Source organism: Homo sapiens, chromosome 4 (assembly GCF_000001405.40).
Source record: "Homo sapiens chromosome 4, GRCh38.p14 Primary Assembly".
Taxonomy (NCBI): domain Eukaryota; kingdom Metazoa; phylum Chordata; class Mammalia; order Primates; family Hominidae; genus Homo; species Homo sapiens.
Window position 1 is genome coordinate 84,960,877 of NC_000004.12, and position 18,538 is coordinate 84,979,414.

At 39.5% G+C, this 18,538-nt stretch overlaps 1 protein-coding gene and 1 long non-coding RNA gene across 40 annotated transcripts in view; one reads left to right on the forward strand and one right to left on the reverse strand.

Moving 5' to 3' along the window:
* WDFY3 (WD repeat and FYVE domain containing 3) overlaps nt 1–5,814 on the reverse strand; it is a 297,094-nt gene extending 291,280 nt beyond the window's left edge. For all 28 annotated transcript variants that reach the window (XM_011531759.3, XM_047449858.1, XM_011531763.4 and 25 more), the window contains exon 1: nt 5,333–5,814. The gene's annotated coding sequence lies outside the window, so the exon portion shown is untranslated. The remainder of the gene's footprint in view (nt 1–5,332) is intronic.
* WDFY3-AS2 (WDFY3 antisense RNA 2) overlaps nt 4,740–18,538 on the forward strand; it is a 43,128-nt gene continuing 29,329 nt past the window's right edge. For 5 of the 12 annotated variants that reach the window (NR_152772.1, NR_152774.1, NR_152773.1 and 2 more), the window contains exons 1-2: nt 4,740–4,982; nt 8,849–9,000. This is a non-coding gene — a long non-coding RNA (WDFY3 antisense RNA 2). Of the gene's footprint in view, nt 4,983–5,855; nt 6,252–6,607; nt 6,765–8,848; nt 9,001–18,538 lie in introns of those variants that run through there. The other 7 variants (NR_152776.1, NR_152778.1, NR_152780.1 and 4 more) reach the window with 3 other exon arrangements.

Genomic DNA, 18,538 nt, shown 5'->3' on the forward strand with positions numbered 1-18,538 from the left:
TGATATGAGCTATGTGTAATTTAATCCTTTGTCCACACTAAAACTACGTGAAATTTCAAAGACAGATTTTGGCCAGGCACAGTAATCCCAGCACTTTTGGGAGGCCGAGGCGGGCGGATCACAAGGTCAGGAATTCGAGACCAGCCTGGCTAACATGGTGAAACCCTGTCTCTACTAAAAATGCAAAAATTAGCCGGGCGTGGTGGCGGATGCCTGTAATTCCAGCTACTCGGGTGGCTGAGGCAGGAGAATCGCTTGAACCCGAGAGGTGGAGGCTGCAGTGAGCTGAGATCATGCCACTGCACTCCAGCCTGGGTGACAAAAGCAAGACTCTGTCTCAAAAAAAAAAAAAAAAGATTTTGATACTGTGGTTTCAGAAAGAGTAGTAACTAACTTGACAGTCCTCAAGATTTTAAAATAAAGAACAATTCAATGAGTTTACAGAACTTGGTGAAATCCCATCAAAGCAAATTGTTGGCATACAGGGAGCCACAAAGAATCTTTTTTTCCCTTTAAGTCCAAGTAAAATTGAAAAAAAAAATTCTTTATGATAAATTTTTTAATTCTAATTTTCTAAACAAAGCTTTATCTACCTGTTTAAAATGGTTCATTTTTTAAATTGCTAACAGCTAAGCATTAGAATAATTCCCTAATGATTATTCCTTTACAAAAAGTAATTTTAACAACATGAAAGATGAGTGCACAGTAAAAACTCAACAAACAGCCTTTAAAGGCTGCAGCCTTCATAGTGAGATCATAACTGATGCCCAAGCTAAAGAAAATTATTTTTTTATAAATATCTATCATAAACTTTCTATACTGAGTCTAAACACTACTGAAAATAAGAGTAAAAAAATTTAAAGGAGATCACTACACATATAATAAATGGCTAAAGTTTTAATAACTGACAATACCAAGTGCTGATAAAGATGTAAAGCAACTGAAACTCTCAGATATTGCTGTAGGAATGTAAAATGATATCACCATTTAGGAAAACAATTCAGTAGTTCAATAAAAAGGTTACTGATATTAATAAATATACACTTATCCTAGGACTCAAAAATCCCACTCCTAGGTATTAACTCAAGAAAACTGAACATTTTTGTCCCTCACATAGACCTGTATGCAAATGTTTATAGCAGCTTTATTCATATTTGATCAAAACTAGAAACAACTCAAATGTCCATCAGTTTATGAATGGATGAACAAATTGTGTTACCCTGGTGTAAAACAATGTTACTCAACAAAAAAAGGAACTGTGCTGGAGCTGGCTGGTACCAGCTCATGGGAGCCCATTGTTAAATTTTCAGGAATTCTGTAAGCTGGTAGCTTAATTTAGGCCATAGTGACAGTGTTTACACTACAATGATTAGCGAATGCTATAAATCAGAGATTCTTTTTTTTTTTCTGAAGAGTATGTTGTTAAGACATTTCCCAGCACATCACTGAACAAAATACTGACACATGTAACAACTTAATAAATATCAAGCATTACGCTAAGTGCAAGGGAACACGAAAGGCTACATAATGTATAATTCCATTTATATATGCCAGACGAGATAAAACTTTAAGAGCATCAATTAAATTAACGGTTTTCAGGGGCTGGGAGTGTAGAGGTAGAGGACTGACTCATGACAGGGCATGAGTGAACTTTTTAGAGTAACGGAAACGTCCTTTTCTATGTCTTGACTGTGGTGGAGACTATCCAATTATAGACATTTGTTAAACTTTTACTTTCACTACATGTAAATTATGCTTCAATAAACATTACTCTAAAAAATTAAAGTAGGAGCCATTTCTTTTTTTTTTTTTTTTGAGATGGAGTCTCACTCTGTCACCCAGGTTGGAGTGCGGTGGCGCCATCTCAGCTCACTGCAACCTCCACCTCCCCAGTTCAAGCGATTCTCCTGCCTCAGCCTCCCGAGCATCTGGGACTACAGGTGCACACCACCAGGCCAAGCTAATTTTTGTATTTTTAGTAGACACGGGGATTCACCATATTGGCCAGGCTGGTCTTGAACTCCTGACCTCAGGTGATTCATCTGCCTCGGCCTCCCAAAGTGCTGGGATTACAGGTGTGAGCCACCATGCCCGGTCGCCATTTATTTCTTAATCATTTCATGGATGATAAATACACCACACACACCAAGGGGGAACTGGATTTATCAGTGTAAATATCAGGAAGGCAGATTTTGACTCGACATAAATAGAAATATAGATTTAAAATGTAAAAACAAACAAACAAAAAAACAAAAAAAAAAAAACGGCCTGGCACGGTGGCTCACGCCTGTAATACCAGCATTTTGGGAGACAGAGGCAGGCAGACCACTTGAGCTCAGGAGTTCAAGACTAGCTTGGCCAACAGGGTAAAACCCCGTCTCCACTAAAAATACAAAAATTAGCCAGGCGTGGTGGCGAGGGTCTATAGTCCCAGCTACTTGGGTGGCTGAGGCACGAGAATCTCTCGAAACCCGGGAGGCAGAAGTTGCAGTGAGCCCAGATGATGCCACTGCACTCCAGCCTGGGCAACACAGCAAGACTCCATCTCAAAAGAAAAAAAAAAAAAGGTCAAGAAAAAAAAAAGAAGAGGGGAAATTCGTAATCACAGGAAATACTAAAATCAGAGGTGGATGATCCTGCCAAAGATGCTGTAGAAATGACCCTAGTTCGGGTGTGATTTCAGACTAGCATCATTAACAGAGGTTAGTATCATTAAGATCTCTTCATACTGGGGGTCCAGGGCTCTAAAATCTTATGATATTGTATGCTATGATAATCTCAGATATACTTTGCAATTCTAACTAAAACATCAATTACTTATTTTAACATCAATCAAATGGTATTACCGATCAAAGTCTAGTATACCCTGTTTATGAATGCTGGCTCTAACTTCAGACAGTCTGGGTTCACATGTTGGCCCACCAGTGTTTGTATGACTTTAAAACAACTTGTTCTATTTCCCCATCTGTAAAATGGGATTAATATTTTCCTTCGATTTAAATGAGAATGTGTTAGAAACAACGTCTATGTGCTGAACTCTTAATCACAAACATTTCTTGGGCATAATCAGAAATGAAGGACATAAATCATCAAATGTAATTTAAAAATTTTAGCTTTCCAAATATGGAATATGTATTCTTTAATTTTATATCTAGAAGTTCATAATCTTTTACAGACCCATATCCTTTTGAGAATGTGATCACCCAACAGAGTCTTTATCTAGGAAAAAAGCAAATATATGCTATATTCTGCATATGATTTCTGGGAAGCCAAGGACCCTCAGAAGTATATGCATGAAATTAAGAAAGAAGCAGGGCATGGTGGCTCACATCTGTAATCCCAGCACTTAGAGAGGCTAAGGCAGGAGGATCACTTGAGGCCAGGAGTTCAAGATCAGCCTGAGCAACACAGGGAGACCCTCATCTCTACAAAAAATAGAAAAATTAGACAGGCATGGTGGCATGCACATGTAGTCCTAACTTCTTGGGAGGCTGTGGGAGAAGGATCACTCGGGCCCAGAAGTTCAAGGCTGCAGTGAACCGTGATCGTGCCACTACACCCCAGCCTGGGCAACAGGGCAAGACCCTGTCTCTAAAAAAAGAAATAAATAAATAAATTAAGAACAACTGATGTAAACTTTTAAAATTGCAAAGTTGAGCAGTGGAATTTAAGAATCTCTTCAAAGCAGAGAATCCAACTAATATTGAAATATACTGTCATTTACTTTTTCAAAAACAGATTATGCAAGAGTAGAACATTGTATTTTCTAACTTATCCCTCCTTTTTGGAGGTGATACAAATTTTTTGAAACATTTTTTTTTTTCTTTACAAAAATTGTTTTCTCTTTGTTGCCCAGGCTGGTCTCTAACTCCTGGCCTCAAGTGATCCCCCAGCCTTGGCCTCCCAAAGTGCTGGAATGACAGGCATGACCCACTGTGACCCACCAAAAGCATACATATATTTCAGATGAATCCATTTTAACTCATGGAAAGAAACTAGCAGTAGAAACCTCTTTCTAGCAGCTTGAGATAGAATGGTTCAAAGTATTAACATACTTTACTATTGCTCAAATATCATAGGAAGAGTTCTCAATTCTAATGCAATATATATTTTTAAACATAAAAACATACCAACCTAATTCCTATACTTAAGAGTCTCATGATAAAGTTTTATTTTTTTTAAAGTCGGATTTTTTTACTAGACTTATGCACTAATACAACATGTTTTTCTATAAATTAGCACATTTTTAGTTCTGTTTTATGTTATGTTTGTTACGTCGCCTGATAGTCGAAACCAGTTGTTCTCAACCTGCTACCAAATACCAACCTGGAAATATGCCACTATTTAAAAAGCCCGAAGAATAGGGTTTTGTTTTTCCTTTTTAATTGTTTGGTGTTCAAACTACATAGTAAACCAGTTGGCAACCATTACTGAACAAAAATAGTTTTTCGTATGCATGAGCACCATTTTCCAACAGAAAACACTTAACCATTTTTAAGGTACTGGAAGTCCATGCAAGGGTTCACATATGCAGTAAATATCCTTTCAATCTGGTTGTATCACATTGTTTCTGTGAAAGGAAGACCTGATATTGCAGATCTCACAATTAAATGGTAAAAATCAATGAAAAACTGCACCTGAGGCTCAAACACTAGCCAGATGGCCTTTGGTTGGAAAGGTCTCATCTGCTTCTTAAATCCCGCCGTAACTGTGAATGTTTGCGATGCCACCACATCCCCAGTACAAGAGAACTGGAGCATCTCTGGCTCCTTCCATAATCGAAGGGCTTCCAGCGTAGGGCGTAGGGGGAGAGGCCCGAAGCCCTGGAGACAGCGCCCGAGGGATGGAGGCCGCGCTCGGCTGCGCTCAGGTCCGGGTGGCTCCGGGAGCTGAGACCCCGCAGGATGCAGCGGGGGGGGGCCAGGGCCTGATCCCCTACCCCTGCGAGCCAGGGCCGCCTACGCCCCCACTGCTTCCCACAGGTAACGTCCAGCCCTCTCCTCCCCTATCCCCCGAAATATCCCGGTTCCGCTCCGCTCCGCTCGCCGCCCGTGACCCCGACCCCGACCCGTCCGCGACGGCGCCCTCCCCAGGAGGCAGCGGAGGACTAGGGCCAGGCCGCCCACCCTGGCGGCGGCGGCGGCTCCCGGCCAAGGCGGACCCTGGGGAGGACAGCAGCTGGGCCGCGGCCTGTCCCTAGGGGGAGCGGGCGCAGGGCCGCGAGTGGGCAGCGCCTCCGCCCCGCACGAACAAAGCGGCCAGGCGCGCCGGGCCGAGGCAGCACCGCCTCTCCGGGAGCGCGGGGGGCGGGGAGGATGGCGGGGGTACTCACCTGAGGGCCGGCGGAGGGCGCGGGCGGGACAGGCCCAGGAGACGGGACCGCGGCGGGCCGGGGCTCCGCGCCGAGGGCGCACGGGCTACGGGGAAGGGGCGACCGGCGCGACGTCCGCGGCGGGGCCCGGGAGCCCCGCGCCGCGGGCCGGGGGCCGGGGCCCGAGCTCGATTCTGCGGCCGCGAGGTATGGGAACCGGTCCGCCGGGCCAGGCAGCGGTGCTAGGCAGCAGGGGCAGCGACGCCGCCGCCTTTCCCTTCTCCTGCCCCCGTCCCTGCTCCGCCGCGTCCTCGTCCTCGCTGGGTCCCCGCCGCCGCCGCCTCAGCCTCGGCGCTCCTCGGGTTTCTTCTCTCCATCAAGGCCGGGCCGACCCGCAGGGACCATCCCGGAAAGTGAGGGGTTGTTGCCGTTTCCCGCAGCTGTTGGTGGCCATCTTTAATCCTCCTCCTCCTCCTGCTTTCTCCACCTCCCGCTGGCTGTCTGACTGACTGACTGGATCCTCCTCTTTCCCCTCCTGCTCCTCCTACTGAGCCGGCCGCAGAAATTGCAGCCGCTCAGCTTCTACCCCCTCCTGCCTTTCCTTCCTCTTTCCTTACTTCCTTCCCTTCCCTCGGCTTCCCGCTCTTGCCTCACTCTCAGCGGCTGCCTTCGCCCCTGTCTGCAGACAGCGCCGCTGGATGCTCCCAGCTGGACTTCAACCCCACTCCTCTCAGTCCCTCTCCCCACTGCCTTCCAGACGCGCCTCTTCCCCGCCCCGCGCCCCTCTCTCCTCTCCCACCCCTGCCCCTCTCCGCGGCGCTCACCCTCCTCAGTCCCAGTTTCTGAAAGGACTCAGCTGAGAAAGGACAACTGGGTTCCGCTTTCCTTAACCCTACACCCTTTAGCTGGATGCTGTCAGAGGCGATGGAGAAACGCAAAGGTGCGTTAATTTTACTCTAGCCAGAGTATAAAAGAACTGCCCACGCCAGCTATTGTACTACGCAGCTTCGAAACTCCTGCACGCTCTCCTGTGTGGCTCCCGTCCGTGATGGGACTGTAGTTGAGGAGCTCGGTCTCAAATGGTGCCTTCCGTCAGTGACCTTGAGTCGGTTGCCTAAGATTTTAGATTTTCCTTTTCCTTCCTGGGAGGGGCATTATTTATACCTTTGCAGTCCCACAAACAGTGTTTAGACCAAATAAGTATCCTTTAGTAAACCTAGAACTGCCAAGTGATCATCATTTTGCCCGTTTGTTCCTACTCAACCCAGCAGACAATTTGGGTCACGCTTCAGTTCTGGCAGTAAAGACAAACTGAGTCAGCAGTTAGGAGTGGACTCCCTTAAACAACAGAGTTAGAGTGGGGAAGTGGTCATAACATCGCTGTAATCACAAACTTGTTTTTCCTAACACTGCAATCTACAGAAGTTTCAGGATTTCCTCTAATAAACATAAGGCAAGTTGGATTTGCTGTTTTCTTCTTTTTGACGATTTTGCCTTTAGAGTTGGACCCATTTGTAATGATTTACTCGTCAATTACTCCAAGATAACAAAGTTGGAGGTAACATTGCTAACAAACACAGGTGATATATATGAGCACTTTGTGGGGGGGGGGTGTCACAGTTTTTCTTCTGTGGGGCACTGGCTATTAAAAAAAAAAAACACCTTGCCCTTTCAAAATAAGACTAGTGTGTTCAAAGGTTAGTCCCTTAAACAGACCAAATGTGGGCAGAAATGTTTTTAAATGTAGTTTTAGATTCTACTTCAAAATGAGTAATGTTTTGAAAGTTCAAATATAAGATTTTGTAATTATAACAATTTAAGAGTTTCAAATCTCTTTGAAAAGAATATGCCAAAACAAACCTAAAAATATATTTTAGTAAAAATACCGGTATCCTTTGGTGGGGGGCGGAGCAGAATTCTAATATTTAATCCTCACGAAGTAACCTTAATTAACTGTTAGGTTCAAGATTTCAGTTGCCATCTTTCAATGCCAATAATTTTTCCATTTGAAATCAACAACCTATACTAACATCTACAACTCTTTTAAACCCAAATAAAGTATTTGAGACAGCATTGTACAATACGTTTTGAAATAAATTATTAAAAACAAAGCACCTATGTGGGGGTGTGTGTGTGCATATGCATGTACATGTACTTTTTTTGTTCTTTCCCTTTGGCCTTTTGGTGTTTATTCTTTATTTAGATTTTGTGTTCTTCCAGTCTATTTCTAGGCAAAATACCACAAAATTCTTGACTCTTAAATATTCACTTATAAAACTGTATGTATAATAATTGGAGAAAAAAGAACGTTAGATAACATGAATATACACTGCGAAAATAGGCTGACTTCTTTTAAACATTAAGACCACCATGCATTTTTAAAGGAAGATTTTCAGTTAGAGGTTTCAGGACTCTTGTCATTGTGATTTTATTTACACTGAGGGAGGAAGAGTTACATTTTAAAATACTATAATTATATTTTTCTGTTAAAACATATATTGCAATAAAGTTCACAAATCTATCAGTATGCAAAAGCAGCCGTTTTCATATTAATGTCTTACAAACTCACAAAGGTTTTTCAGTGATAGACATAAAAATAAATGTACCAAGTTTTTTTTTTCTTTTTTACTGAAGCCACATAAACGTAAGTACTGTAATAATGGAAAAATCAGACCCTTCACATTTACTTTTTTACAGCTCTGTCATCATTACAGCCTTTAGTCTTTGTTGCTGGCTAACTGTAGTTTCACTGTCATCTTAGGAATCAAGTACGAAAAAAAAATGATCAAATCAGGTTTTCCTGCAACATGATTATTGTTTCATATGTATTCACTCTCAGATAAAGTCAAGGTCCTCTATAAAACAAAGAATTGTGTTAAAGTGGGATAAACCCTTTGTGCAGAGGCCAGATGGAAAGAGATCTAGGCATGTGCAGCAAACTCCTCTGGGAATAGAGGAGCAAGCATGAAGGGCTATTTCTAAACAGTTCTGCACTGGGAGGCTGATCTCCAACTTACAATTCATGAATAAGGTGACTGTGGAGAATGATAACCAAGAGGCTATCTGTGACAATAAGCAAACAACCCATATTTGCTTTTAACATGATTGAAAATTCTATGAACATGAATGAGTGAAACATAATTTTAAAGGAAGGAAAATGGAGATAAAAGGTTCATGAAAAATATCTAAAAGTAAGAGGAAGAAAAAATAATAGAAAACAGCAATTTTGGAAAATTGTTAAATAATACATATTAACAGTTTGCTATTTAAACAATTATTTTCTTTATGTTAACTTTTTGTTAACATGTTTGCTTTTAAGACTATACAGGAAATAATTTAAACTTGGTCAGGTAGCATTATCCCAGAGATGAGCATATGTAATTTATAGAATTTTGAGATATTTATTCCAGAACATAGAGTGCTAAATGATGCTGGGACACAAAAATCAAAAAGAATGGAAGTGTTAATTGACATATTTAAAAATTACTGAGCCACTATATTACATATTATATTAAATATACATTTCCATTTTTCCAGGCTACTAGACGCAACAATAGAATTACCATATTGTTTTTCCTGGTTTGAAAGGACCAGATGGAAAGAAACTGGGCAAGCCAATGAAAGTCTCTGGGGATCATGGGAATTGAGTGTCTATGAAAACCATATTCCAGACAAGAATATAGTCTAAGGTAAATGTTCTCATAATCTCCATTCTTTAGAAAAGACAATATTTCTGTTCTGCATCTTCCTCTTTAGGTGGACTGTCAAAAATATCAATTGAATAATGACAAGCCATATTTATCTGCACTGATTGAAATTTAGTATCATTCTTCACTCCTCAATTTATAGAACTACTTATAATTAACTGATGAGCTGTCCCTGAGACAGTGCCATTTATAGTCATTACTGCACTCTAATTGGGGAGAAATGCTTTTAGAAAGTTCTAATTAGAGATTTTTTCTGTTGTTTTTCTTATAAATACATTCAAAAGAGGTATTGGAGAGTTTGTTTTGTTTTGGGAAGAGGCATGTGTGTAGCTCGATGTATTGTTTCTCTTTATACTTAAGTAAGTAATATGTAATAAAGCTTCTTTAAACTTTAAAGAGTAACAGGCTCACAGGAGGAAACAGAATAGTATCACGTTTTGCCCTTGTTCATCATAATTATCAGCATTATAATAGAGATGGGGGATTGAAGACTTTTGTTATTAATAAATTCTATTTCTACTTAAAGTTAAAGGTCCTCTTCATTTTCAGTTCCTTTATGTTTCTCTATGGAGAGTTCAGACTTTTAAAACCAGTATATTTACAATGTTTTTACAAGATAAATACACTTCACCCTTGAACAACACAGGTTTGAAATATGCAAATCCACTTCTATGTAGATTTTCTGCCACCTTGGCCACCCCCCTGAGACATCAAGAACAACTCTTTCTCTTCCTCCCCTTCTCAGCTTATTCAACCTGAAGATGATGAGGATGAAAACCTTTATGATGATCCTTCTCCACTTAATGAATAATAAATATATTTTCTCTTCTTCATGATTTTCTTAATAGCATTTTCTTTTCTCTGCCTTTATTGTAAAGATAAGTAATACATATACAAAATATATGTGAATCAGCTTTATGTTATCAGTAAGGCTTCTGGTCAACAGTAGACTATTAGTAGTTAAGTTTTTGGGGATTCAAATATTACACACAGATTTTCAACTGCACAGCAGCCAGGGAGGGCAACAGCACTCCTAACCCTGGCGTTGTTCAAGGGTCGACTGTATAGTAGTATACACATTGAGCATATTTCACTCATTAAAAATTCTGGTGAAAAATTATTCAAATGGCTCACTATAGATCATCTAGTGCAAACTTTGTAGCAATTTGAATGAAATCCAGGTCTCCTGACTCAGTCTCAAGTCCCATAACTTCAGAGTTGACAGGGCTCATCTTAGAGGAGAGAAACTCAACCAAAGAAACTTTTAACTGTGCCATCTTCAGTTAAATATAATTTAAACTTAATTTCCAGAATTAATGTTCAGCGTTGACCTTTCTTAGAAATAAAGCTAAGGAATAAAGTAAATAAACAGGGTTTTCCTGTTTACAAAAATGAGAGCAATTGTTTGCAATTAATGTAAAAAGCAAATTTAAAGATAGCTTAAGAAAGCTCAAGTTGACTAAAAAATGTGCGATTTTTAAAAACCTAAAACAACTCCTATAACATTTATTTATGGTTCAAAAAGTATAAAGTTAACTCAAAAATACTGTGTTATTTCATGGATTAAGTTAAAAGTGAGTGTTGCAAGACTCAGGAAACAAACCTCAGTTAGCTAAATAAAGTAAAACACTGCCATCTGCTGACTAGAATGAAAAATTAGTTGGTCTTTTACCATCTGTAACCAGCGAGAGGTCTGTTAATTTATTCCATAATTCTTTAAAGTATGCTAAAAAGCACTATGCTGGGTGATACAAAATTACTCAGTCTCCTAGATGGACACCTAGGACTATATCCTATGCTACTGTATTAGTTAGGGTTCTCCAGAGAGACCAAACCAATAAAATATAGATACAGATACAGGAGAGGGGATTTATTAGAATTGGCTTATGCAATTATGAAGGCTGAGAAGTCCCACAACAGGCCATCTGCAAGCTAGAGACCCTGGGGTGCCAGTAGCGTGGCTCATTCCAAGTATGTAGGCCTGAGAACCCAGAGGGGAGCTGGTGTGAGTCCTGGTATCCAAAGGCTGGAGAGCCTGGCATTCTCATGTCCAGGGGCAGAAGAGTGTATCCCGACTTCAGGACAGAGAGACCAATTCACTTTTCCTCTGTTTTGTTCTATCTGGGCCTCCAGCTGATTGGATGATGCCCACCCACATTGAGGGTGAATCTTCCCCACTTAGTCCACTGAGACTCACGCTCCAATTGCCTCTAGAAACACCCTTACAGACACACCCCAAAATTATGCTTTATCACTTCGCTATATATTCATTAATTCAGTCAGGTCAATACCTAAAATTAATCATCACAACTAGCATGTGGTGGTGGTTGTTATCATTATTCAAACAGGTAATTCTGACCATAATTAGTAATGCAGCAATAATAGGGCTTAAATGTAAATGAGGAAATAAAGTTATTATTTGGAAATTTTGAATATAGAAAAATTTTACATTAAAACTTACTTAAGGCTGGGTGCAGTGGCTCACACCTGTAATTCCAGCACTTTCAGAGGCCAAGGCACACAGATCACTTGAGGTCAGGAGTTTGAGACGAGCCTGGCCAACATGGTGAAAACCCGTCTCTACTAAAAATACAAAAATTAGCTGGGTGTGGTGACGGGCACCTGTAATTCCAGCTGAGGCTGAGGCAGGAGAATCACATGAACCTGGGAGGCGGAGGTTGCAGCGAGCCAAGCCGAGACTGCATCATTGCACTCCAGCCTGGGCCACGGAGTGAGACTCTGTCTAAAAAAAAAGGACATTTAAATTGTATAACTACAGTAAAAATAATTTGGAAAATAAAATAATGTAAAGTTTAAGTCATGACCTAATTACTTCACTCTGCAAATATTTGAGTGATTGCTGTGCCAGAAACTAGATTGCCTGCAAGAGATATAATAAAAACCTACTGTCCACCTTTATGGAGCTCACAGTCTAGAGAAAGATATCAACCAGGAATGATAATGTCTTAAGAACTATAACAAGATGGTACAGGAGTACCTCCTGCTGCTCCAGTGGGGCACACAAATTATTATCAACACATATAAATTACAGTCTAATAAGTATTTGCTCCTGTCCTCAATTACTATAAATAATCCTTGGGCTTATTCAAGAACTGTATTTTGAGCTTTCCATCTGAGTGGAGTTTTTGTTGTATTGCTTTACTCAGAAACCTCAAAAGGTTTATAACACTTCAATTTCTCCCGTTCCCTGCATCAAATCCATTACCAATGATTGCCAATTTTACTTCCAAATAACTCTCAAACATGAACACCTCTTCCCATTTTCTCTGGCACTACCCTAGTCTCATATTTTCAACTGAGATAACCTTTTATCTAGTCTACCCACAGTCACTTGAATCTCTTCCAATCCATTGTTTCCATTTACAGATTTTCAGTGGTTCTTAGGACCTGGCATAGTTGGCCAACCATCCACCTCTCGAATGTCGACATGATCCATAATTTAATGCACTTCCTCTACTGCTATTACCCTGGCATGTTCAGTCCCTTCTCCTTGACATGCTCCCTTCGCCACATGGCCTTTGCACAATCGATTACCTGCCTCTATTCTTCATCTACTTTAACGATGTCTTCACTGAACTAAGTCACAAATCCCACCATTAAATTTTTCATAGAACCACTCAATTTTCCTTCATAGCACTAATCACAGATGCAGTTTTATAGTTTTTTATGTTATGTGGTTTATGCCTATAAATTCAGTGAGGACAATGACTGTGTTTTGGCTCTTTATTGGTCCAGTTTTGGTACTACCATTTTACATTATAAAATTATTCCACATCATGGTAGAGAAGTTTTGAATCAAGCAATTGACACCTATCATAACTTAACAAAGTACACACATTTAAGGAATGAATAAAATATGCTGGATTATTGATGATTCCAAACACATTTAATTTATATTTTTTTCCTGTTTATTTCATGTGTTATGACAAGACTAGAAAACATGTTTGTTTCCTTTAACACTGGCTACTGGACCCTGCTCTCCTAATCAGAATGTGTGCTAATTTGAGGGCACTCTATCCTCAAGGCAATGTCATATTTGAGGAGCAACTGTGAATGAAGTCAAACATTGACCTAGTTTTTTTTGAGATCTTCTCTATCACTGCAATATTTTGTGTTTCCTCTTTTGCTCTTCCTTATCTCTTGACATTTCTGCCACCATTATATAATCTTTAAAAATCAAGTTCCTTTTTTGCTGTTGTGCTTTTGAAACTTCCAGATAATGGGATGGGGTAGAGGGACACAATAACAAACAAAATAACCAAGCACAAAACCTACAGTTACTTTATTTAAAAATTTTCCTCAATAGCTTGTGTTTCTAGATAAAACCAGTCACAAACAAATAGAGTTATATTTACTTGGCTTATCACGAAATTAAATCATTCTGAATTCATAGTGAGACTCTATAAAATCAATTATATTATGTATATAATATCACTCATTTTCCTTAAAAAATTTTTTTTTAAGTAGAGACAAGATTTCGCCATGTTGTCCAGACTAGTCTGTAACTCCTGGGCTCAAGCGATCCTCCTGCCTGGACCTCCCAAAGTGCTGAGATTACAGGCATAGGCCACCACTCCCAGCCTCATTTTAAAAAAAATAAATCCAAGTTTAATTTAACGACATACTATGATGGTTAATTTTATGTGTCAGCTTACCTGGGCCATGAAATATCCAAATATTTGGTTAAACATCATTCTGGGTGTGTCTTTGAGGATGTTTCTGGATGAGATTGACATCTGACTCAGCAGACCAAGTAAAGCAGATTGCCTTCCCCAATGTAAGTGGACCTCATCCAATCTGTCCAAGGCCCAAATGGAGCTAAAAACGTGGAGTAAGGGAGAATTTACTCTCTGCCTGACTGTCTTTGACTTGGAACATCAGTCTTATCCTGCTTTCATACTTGGACTCAGACTGGAACTATATCATCAACTGCCCTGGGTCTCCTGCTTGCCAACTGCAGATCTTGGGATTTCTAAGCCTCCATAACCACCTAAGCCAATTCATTATGATAAATCTATGTATCTATGTATTATCTATATATCTATCTATCATCTATCTATGTATTATCAATCATCTATCGATCTATCTATTCTCTATCTATCTATCTATCTATCATCTATCTAATATTCTATTTCTCTGGAGAACCCAGACTAATGCACATACCATGACATTAAATACTAACTATAATTGCATGGATTTTACACAATTTAAAGATAGCTATGTTGATTAATTTTGGTTTTAAATTCCAAGTTATGCCGGGTGTGGTGGCTCACACCTGTAATCCCAACACTTTGGGAGGCCGAGGCGGGCGGATCACGAGGTCAGGAGTTCGAGACTAGCCTGACAAACATCATGAAACCCTGTCTCTACTAAAAATACAAAAATTACCTGGGCGTGGTGGTGGGTGCCTGTAATCCCAGCTACTCAGGAGGCTGAGGCAGGAGAATCGCTTGAACCCGGGAGGTGGAGGTTGCAGTGAGTGGAAATTGCATCACTGAACTCCAGCCTGGGTGACAGAGTGAGACTCCGTCTCAAAAAAAAAAAAAATTCCAAGTGATTTTATCTTGTATATCCCTCTGCCGATTTACAAAATAAGAATGAATATGTAAGTACACACAGACACATACATGCACACACACAAACACGATTCTTGGTCCTTTAAATACTTCCAAGTCTCTTCATTGTTCAGATGCGGGGAAAATCTCCCAATCTCCATTTTTTTTTCTCTGAAGTTTTTAAAGAGTGCTCAATTTATACTTCATTTCTCCACTTAAATCTCTAATACTCATTCTTCAGTTACCTGTTACTGGCTTTCAACTTTACTACTCTGTTGAAACTGCTCTTACCAAAGTCATCAGTGTTCTCCTAATTCAACATAAAGTAATATCTTCCATCTTATACTAGAAGTTCTCTGTCCTTATTTTGGCAATTATGATCCTCTTTTCCCTGATACTCTCTAGTCCCTTCTTCCTGGTTCCTCTCAAATTCTCTACCTGCCCCTTACAGATAGTGCTCTAAGGTGACACCTTCATTCTATCACTCCTTTCAGTAATTCTAATGAATTCAGTTCTTTACACTGATTACATAAATTAATATCTCCAACCCAGACCTTTCCCAACACTTTCAGTCTCATATCCAGTTGCCTACTGGATACTTTATATTCAACTCTCTAAAATTACAATTATCATCTTCCCTAAACTGATTCTTATTCCTATTTCCTCCATCTCAGATATAATAGTCTTCATTTAACCTTCTTTCTTATGAATGGATATACCAGCATAAAGAGCAATGTCTGGAACACATGCAGGTATAATAAATTGCATTATTGTTTACTAATATTTGCTGCCCACTTGTAAAAGATAGTTGTACTTCCATGCCTATTGACATAGCTTGACTTTGCAACTTACTAAATACTAGTGTAAATGACTGCATTACTTCCCAGCAGATACTTAAGAGCCAGGATATCATCTGCCATGCTTTTTTTGCCCTATGCCAGACAGCCAGCAGTATTCTAGATGCTCAGCTTGGGTGCTTGTATGAAGGTGATGTGGTACAGAGCTGCAGCCTACCTGCAGGGAAATAGTAGCATGACTGAAAATAAAGCTTTGAAGTTGTAATGACTGAAATTTGGGGATCATTTGTCAATACATCCAAAAGCCTATACTGACTGATCTGAGGCTGGAAAAGTTTTAACCACAGAATTGTATTTTCATCTATATATAGTCATGATAGGTAAAGGTCAACAGAAAGACGGTCTCAAATATGCAAAGGCTATGAGACAACCTTTATATAATTTTTTAAATGCCTTAAATATTTCTCCAAAAAGTGAAATATGAAGCAAAATTAAGAGATAGTGAAAATTAAGGGTTTGAAATGACAAACTGCAAGCACTGAAACTTGGTTAAAAAAAAAAGAAATAATACACAGGAAAGAAAGAAAAAAGGAATAAATACATATAACACAGAAAAAAAAAGAAAAAGAGAGCTGAAAAATGGCTGTAAATTTGCTTGTAAACTAAATACAACCATCATATAAAAATCGAATAAGGAAATACATATAATATTAATATAGTAACACTTTGGATCTAGATTCCATGTTATATTAGCAAAGACTAAAAAGTTGGAAAGGGAAAAAAGTTAACTAAATTTGGCCAGGCATGGTGGCTTGCTCCTGTAATCCCAGCATTTTGGGAGGCAGAGGCAGGTAGATTGCTTGAGCCTAAGAGTTTGAGACAACATGGTGAGGCAACATGGTGAAACCCCATATCTATCTATAAAAAAAAAATTAGCTTTGTATGGTGGTGTATGCCTGTAGTCCCAGTTACTTGGGATACTGATGTGAAATTTACAAAATTCAAAAATTCATTATATTAAATAGGGAGAATTCAAAATATAATATTTTACTTTCAATTCTGACTATTATAGAAGTAGAGGTTAAATAATGATGTTAAAATTCTTAAAGATAGTTTATAGAGGCTTTTAAAGATGGCAAGATAAAAATATTTTAAAAAATTTGATCCTCCCCCTTGAAACTTACCAATAATGAAAAAATAAAAAATAATAATGTAGGAAAAACAACCAACCAAACAACCAACTTCATCTTCAATGAAACAAGGAAATGATACAATCCTAAGTTACAAAAAAGGAAGCAGCAATAAAGTAAAATGAGGAAAGAGGCTGATTGCCAAGAACCAAAGCATGCCTTCTCTAATCTTGAGCAGAACAAAGATTTCTCTCAAAGGAAGAGAAACAATCCTGAAAGACTGTGACTAGAGTAGCAAAATCTGAACCTGGGGGAGCCTCAGAAGTGGAATGTCTACTTTAAAGGAGAGGTGGAACTAAAGAAGAAACCAGGCTGGCATGTCAGTGTTACAGCCTTCAGCCTATTCTCTGAGCCAAGGAGATTGCTAGAAGTAAAGTGGAGTAAGGAAAGGAAGAGAAGAACCAGAAATCTCGTGTCACTCTTCACTCCTATGCAGATTTTTTTTGTCAATAACTCATTGACAAGCACCATGTCTCTGGGCAAATACTGGTGATAAGAAGGCAAGGAAAATAACTAGTTAGCTGTTACAGTTTCTGTGTTAGAGATAGGCAAGGGAAAAGGATGAGTGAATCTGTAATTTCTATTACTACAAAAAAAAAAAAGAATCAAGACAGAAAGTGAGAATATATTTTAAAAGGAAAAAACACAAATAAACTGCAGAAGAAGAGCATACAATGTAAGGTAAATTACTTACTAAATATTCCAAGAGTTAAAATAAATACTTCCTTGTAATCTCTGTAGTGTGTTGAACAGTGTCTCTTTCTAATTATGTTTACCCAGAACCTTAGAATGTAATCTTTATTGGAAATAATTCTTTGAAAATGCAATTAGGAAGGTGTGATCCTACTGTATTAAGGTGGGCCCTAAATCCAGTGACTGGCATCCTATGAGAAGAGGAGAGGACCTATGGAGACATACATAGGAAAAAAGGCCATGTCACAGTGGAGGCAAAGATTGGGGTGATGCAGCTACAAACCACAGAACACCAAGGATTTCTAAGAGCTGCCAGAAGCTTAGGAAAAGGCAAGGAAGTTTTCTTCCCTACAGCTTTCATGGGGAGCATAGCCATGACAACACCTTAATTTCAGAATTCTAGCCCTGAGAATTGTAAATCAATAAATTTCTGTTGTTTTAAGTCAGCCACTTTGTTATGGCAGCCCTAGGAAACTAACACAGTCTTCAAGAAATTACATACAACGTCACTGTGGTGGGCAGACTCTAAGATCACCCCCCATAACCCTTGCCTCCTGGTGCTCAGACCCTTGCATCCTCTCCTTGACTGTAAGACCTATGATTTCTTTCTAACCAATAGAATACAGTGCAAATAGGAGATGATGATGATTTTGTGCATGTGATTACATCACGTAAGATTGTAGCCTATCGTGTTAGGAGACCCTGGCTGGCTTTGAAGAAGCAGGCTACCATATTCCCAGATGTCATAGGAAGAGAGCCACCGGACAAGGAGCTGAGTGTGGCCTCTGGCCAATAACCAGCAAGAAATTGAGCCCTCGGTGTAGTAGTCTGCCAGGAACTGAATTCTGCAACGATGTTGAGTTTGCAAGCAGATCCTTCAGTTGAGCCTCAGATGAGACTGCAACCCCAACTATCACCTTGATTGCAGCCTTGTGAGACCTTCAAAGCAGAAGACCAAGCTAAGTGATGCTCAAACTCCAGATCCACAGAAATTGTGAGATAACAAATGTGTATAGTCCTAAACCACTACGTTAGTGATGATATTGTTATGGAACGATAGAGAACTAGTACAATGTCCTTTCTAGAAGAAGACCTCTAACAAGAGAATGAAGAGTTCAATAAAAATGTAAGGCATCCGAAGAGGAAAATGTGGAGATAAAAGAGCTCAGAAAATTAATGGAAGAGCTGAAAAATGGTAGGAGAATTAATAGAAGAACACATGATTGAATACACAATCTAAAGAAATCACACAATACACAATAAA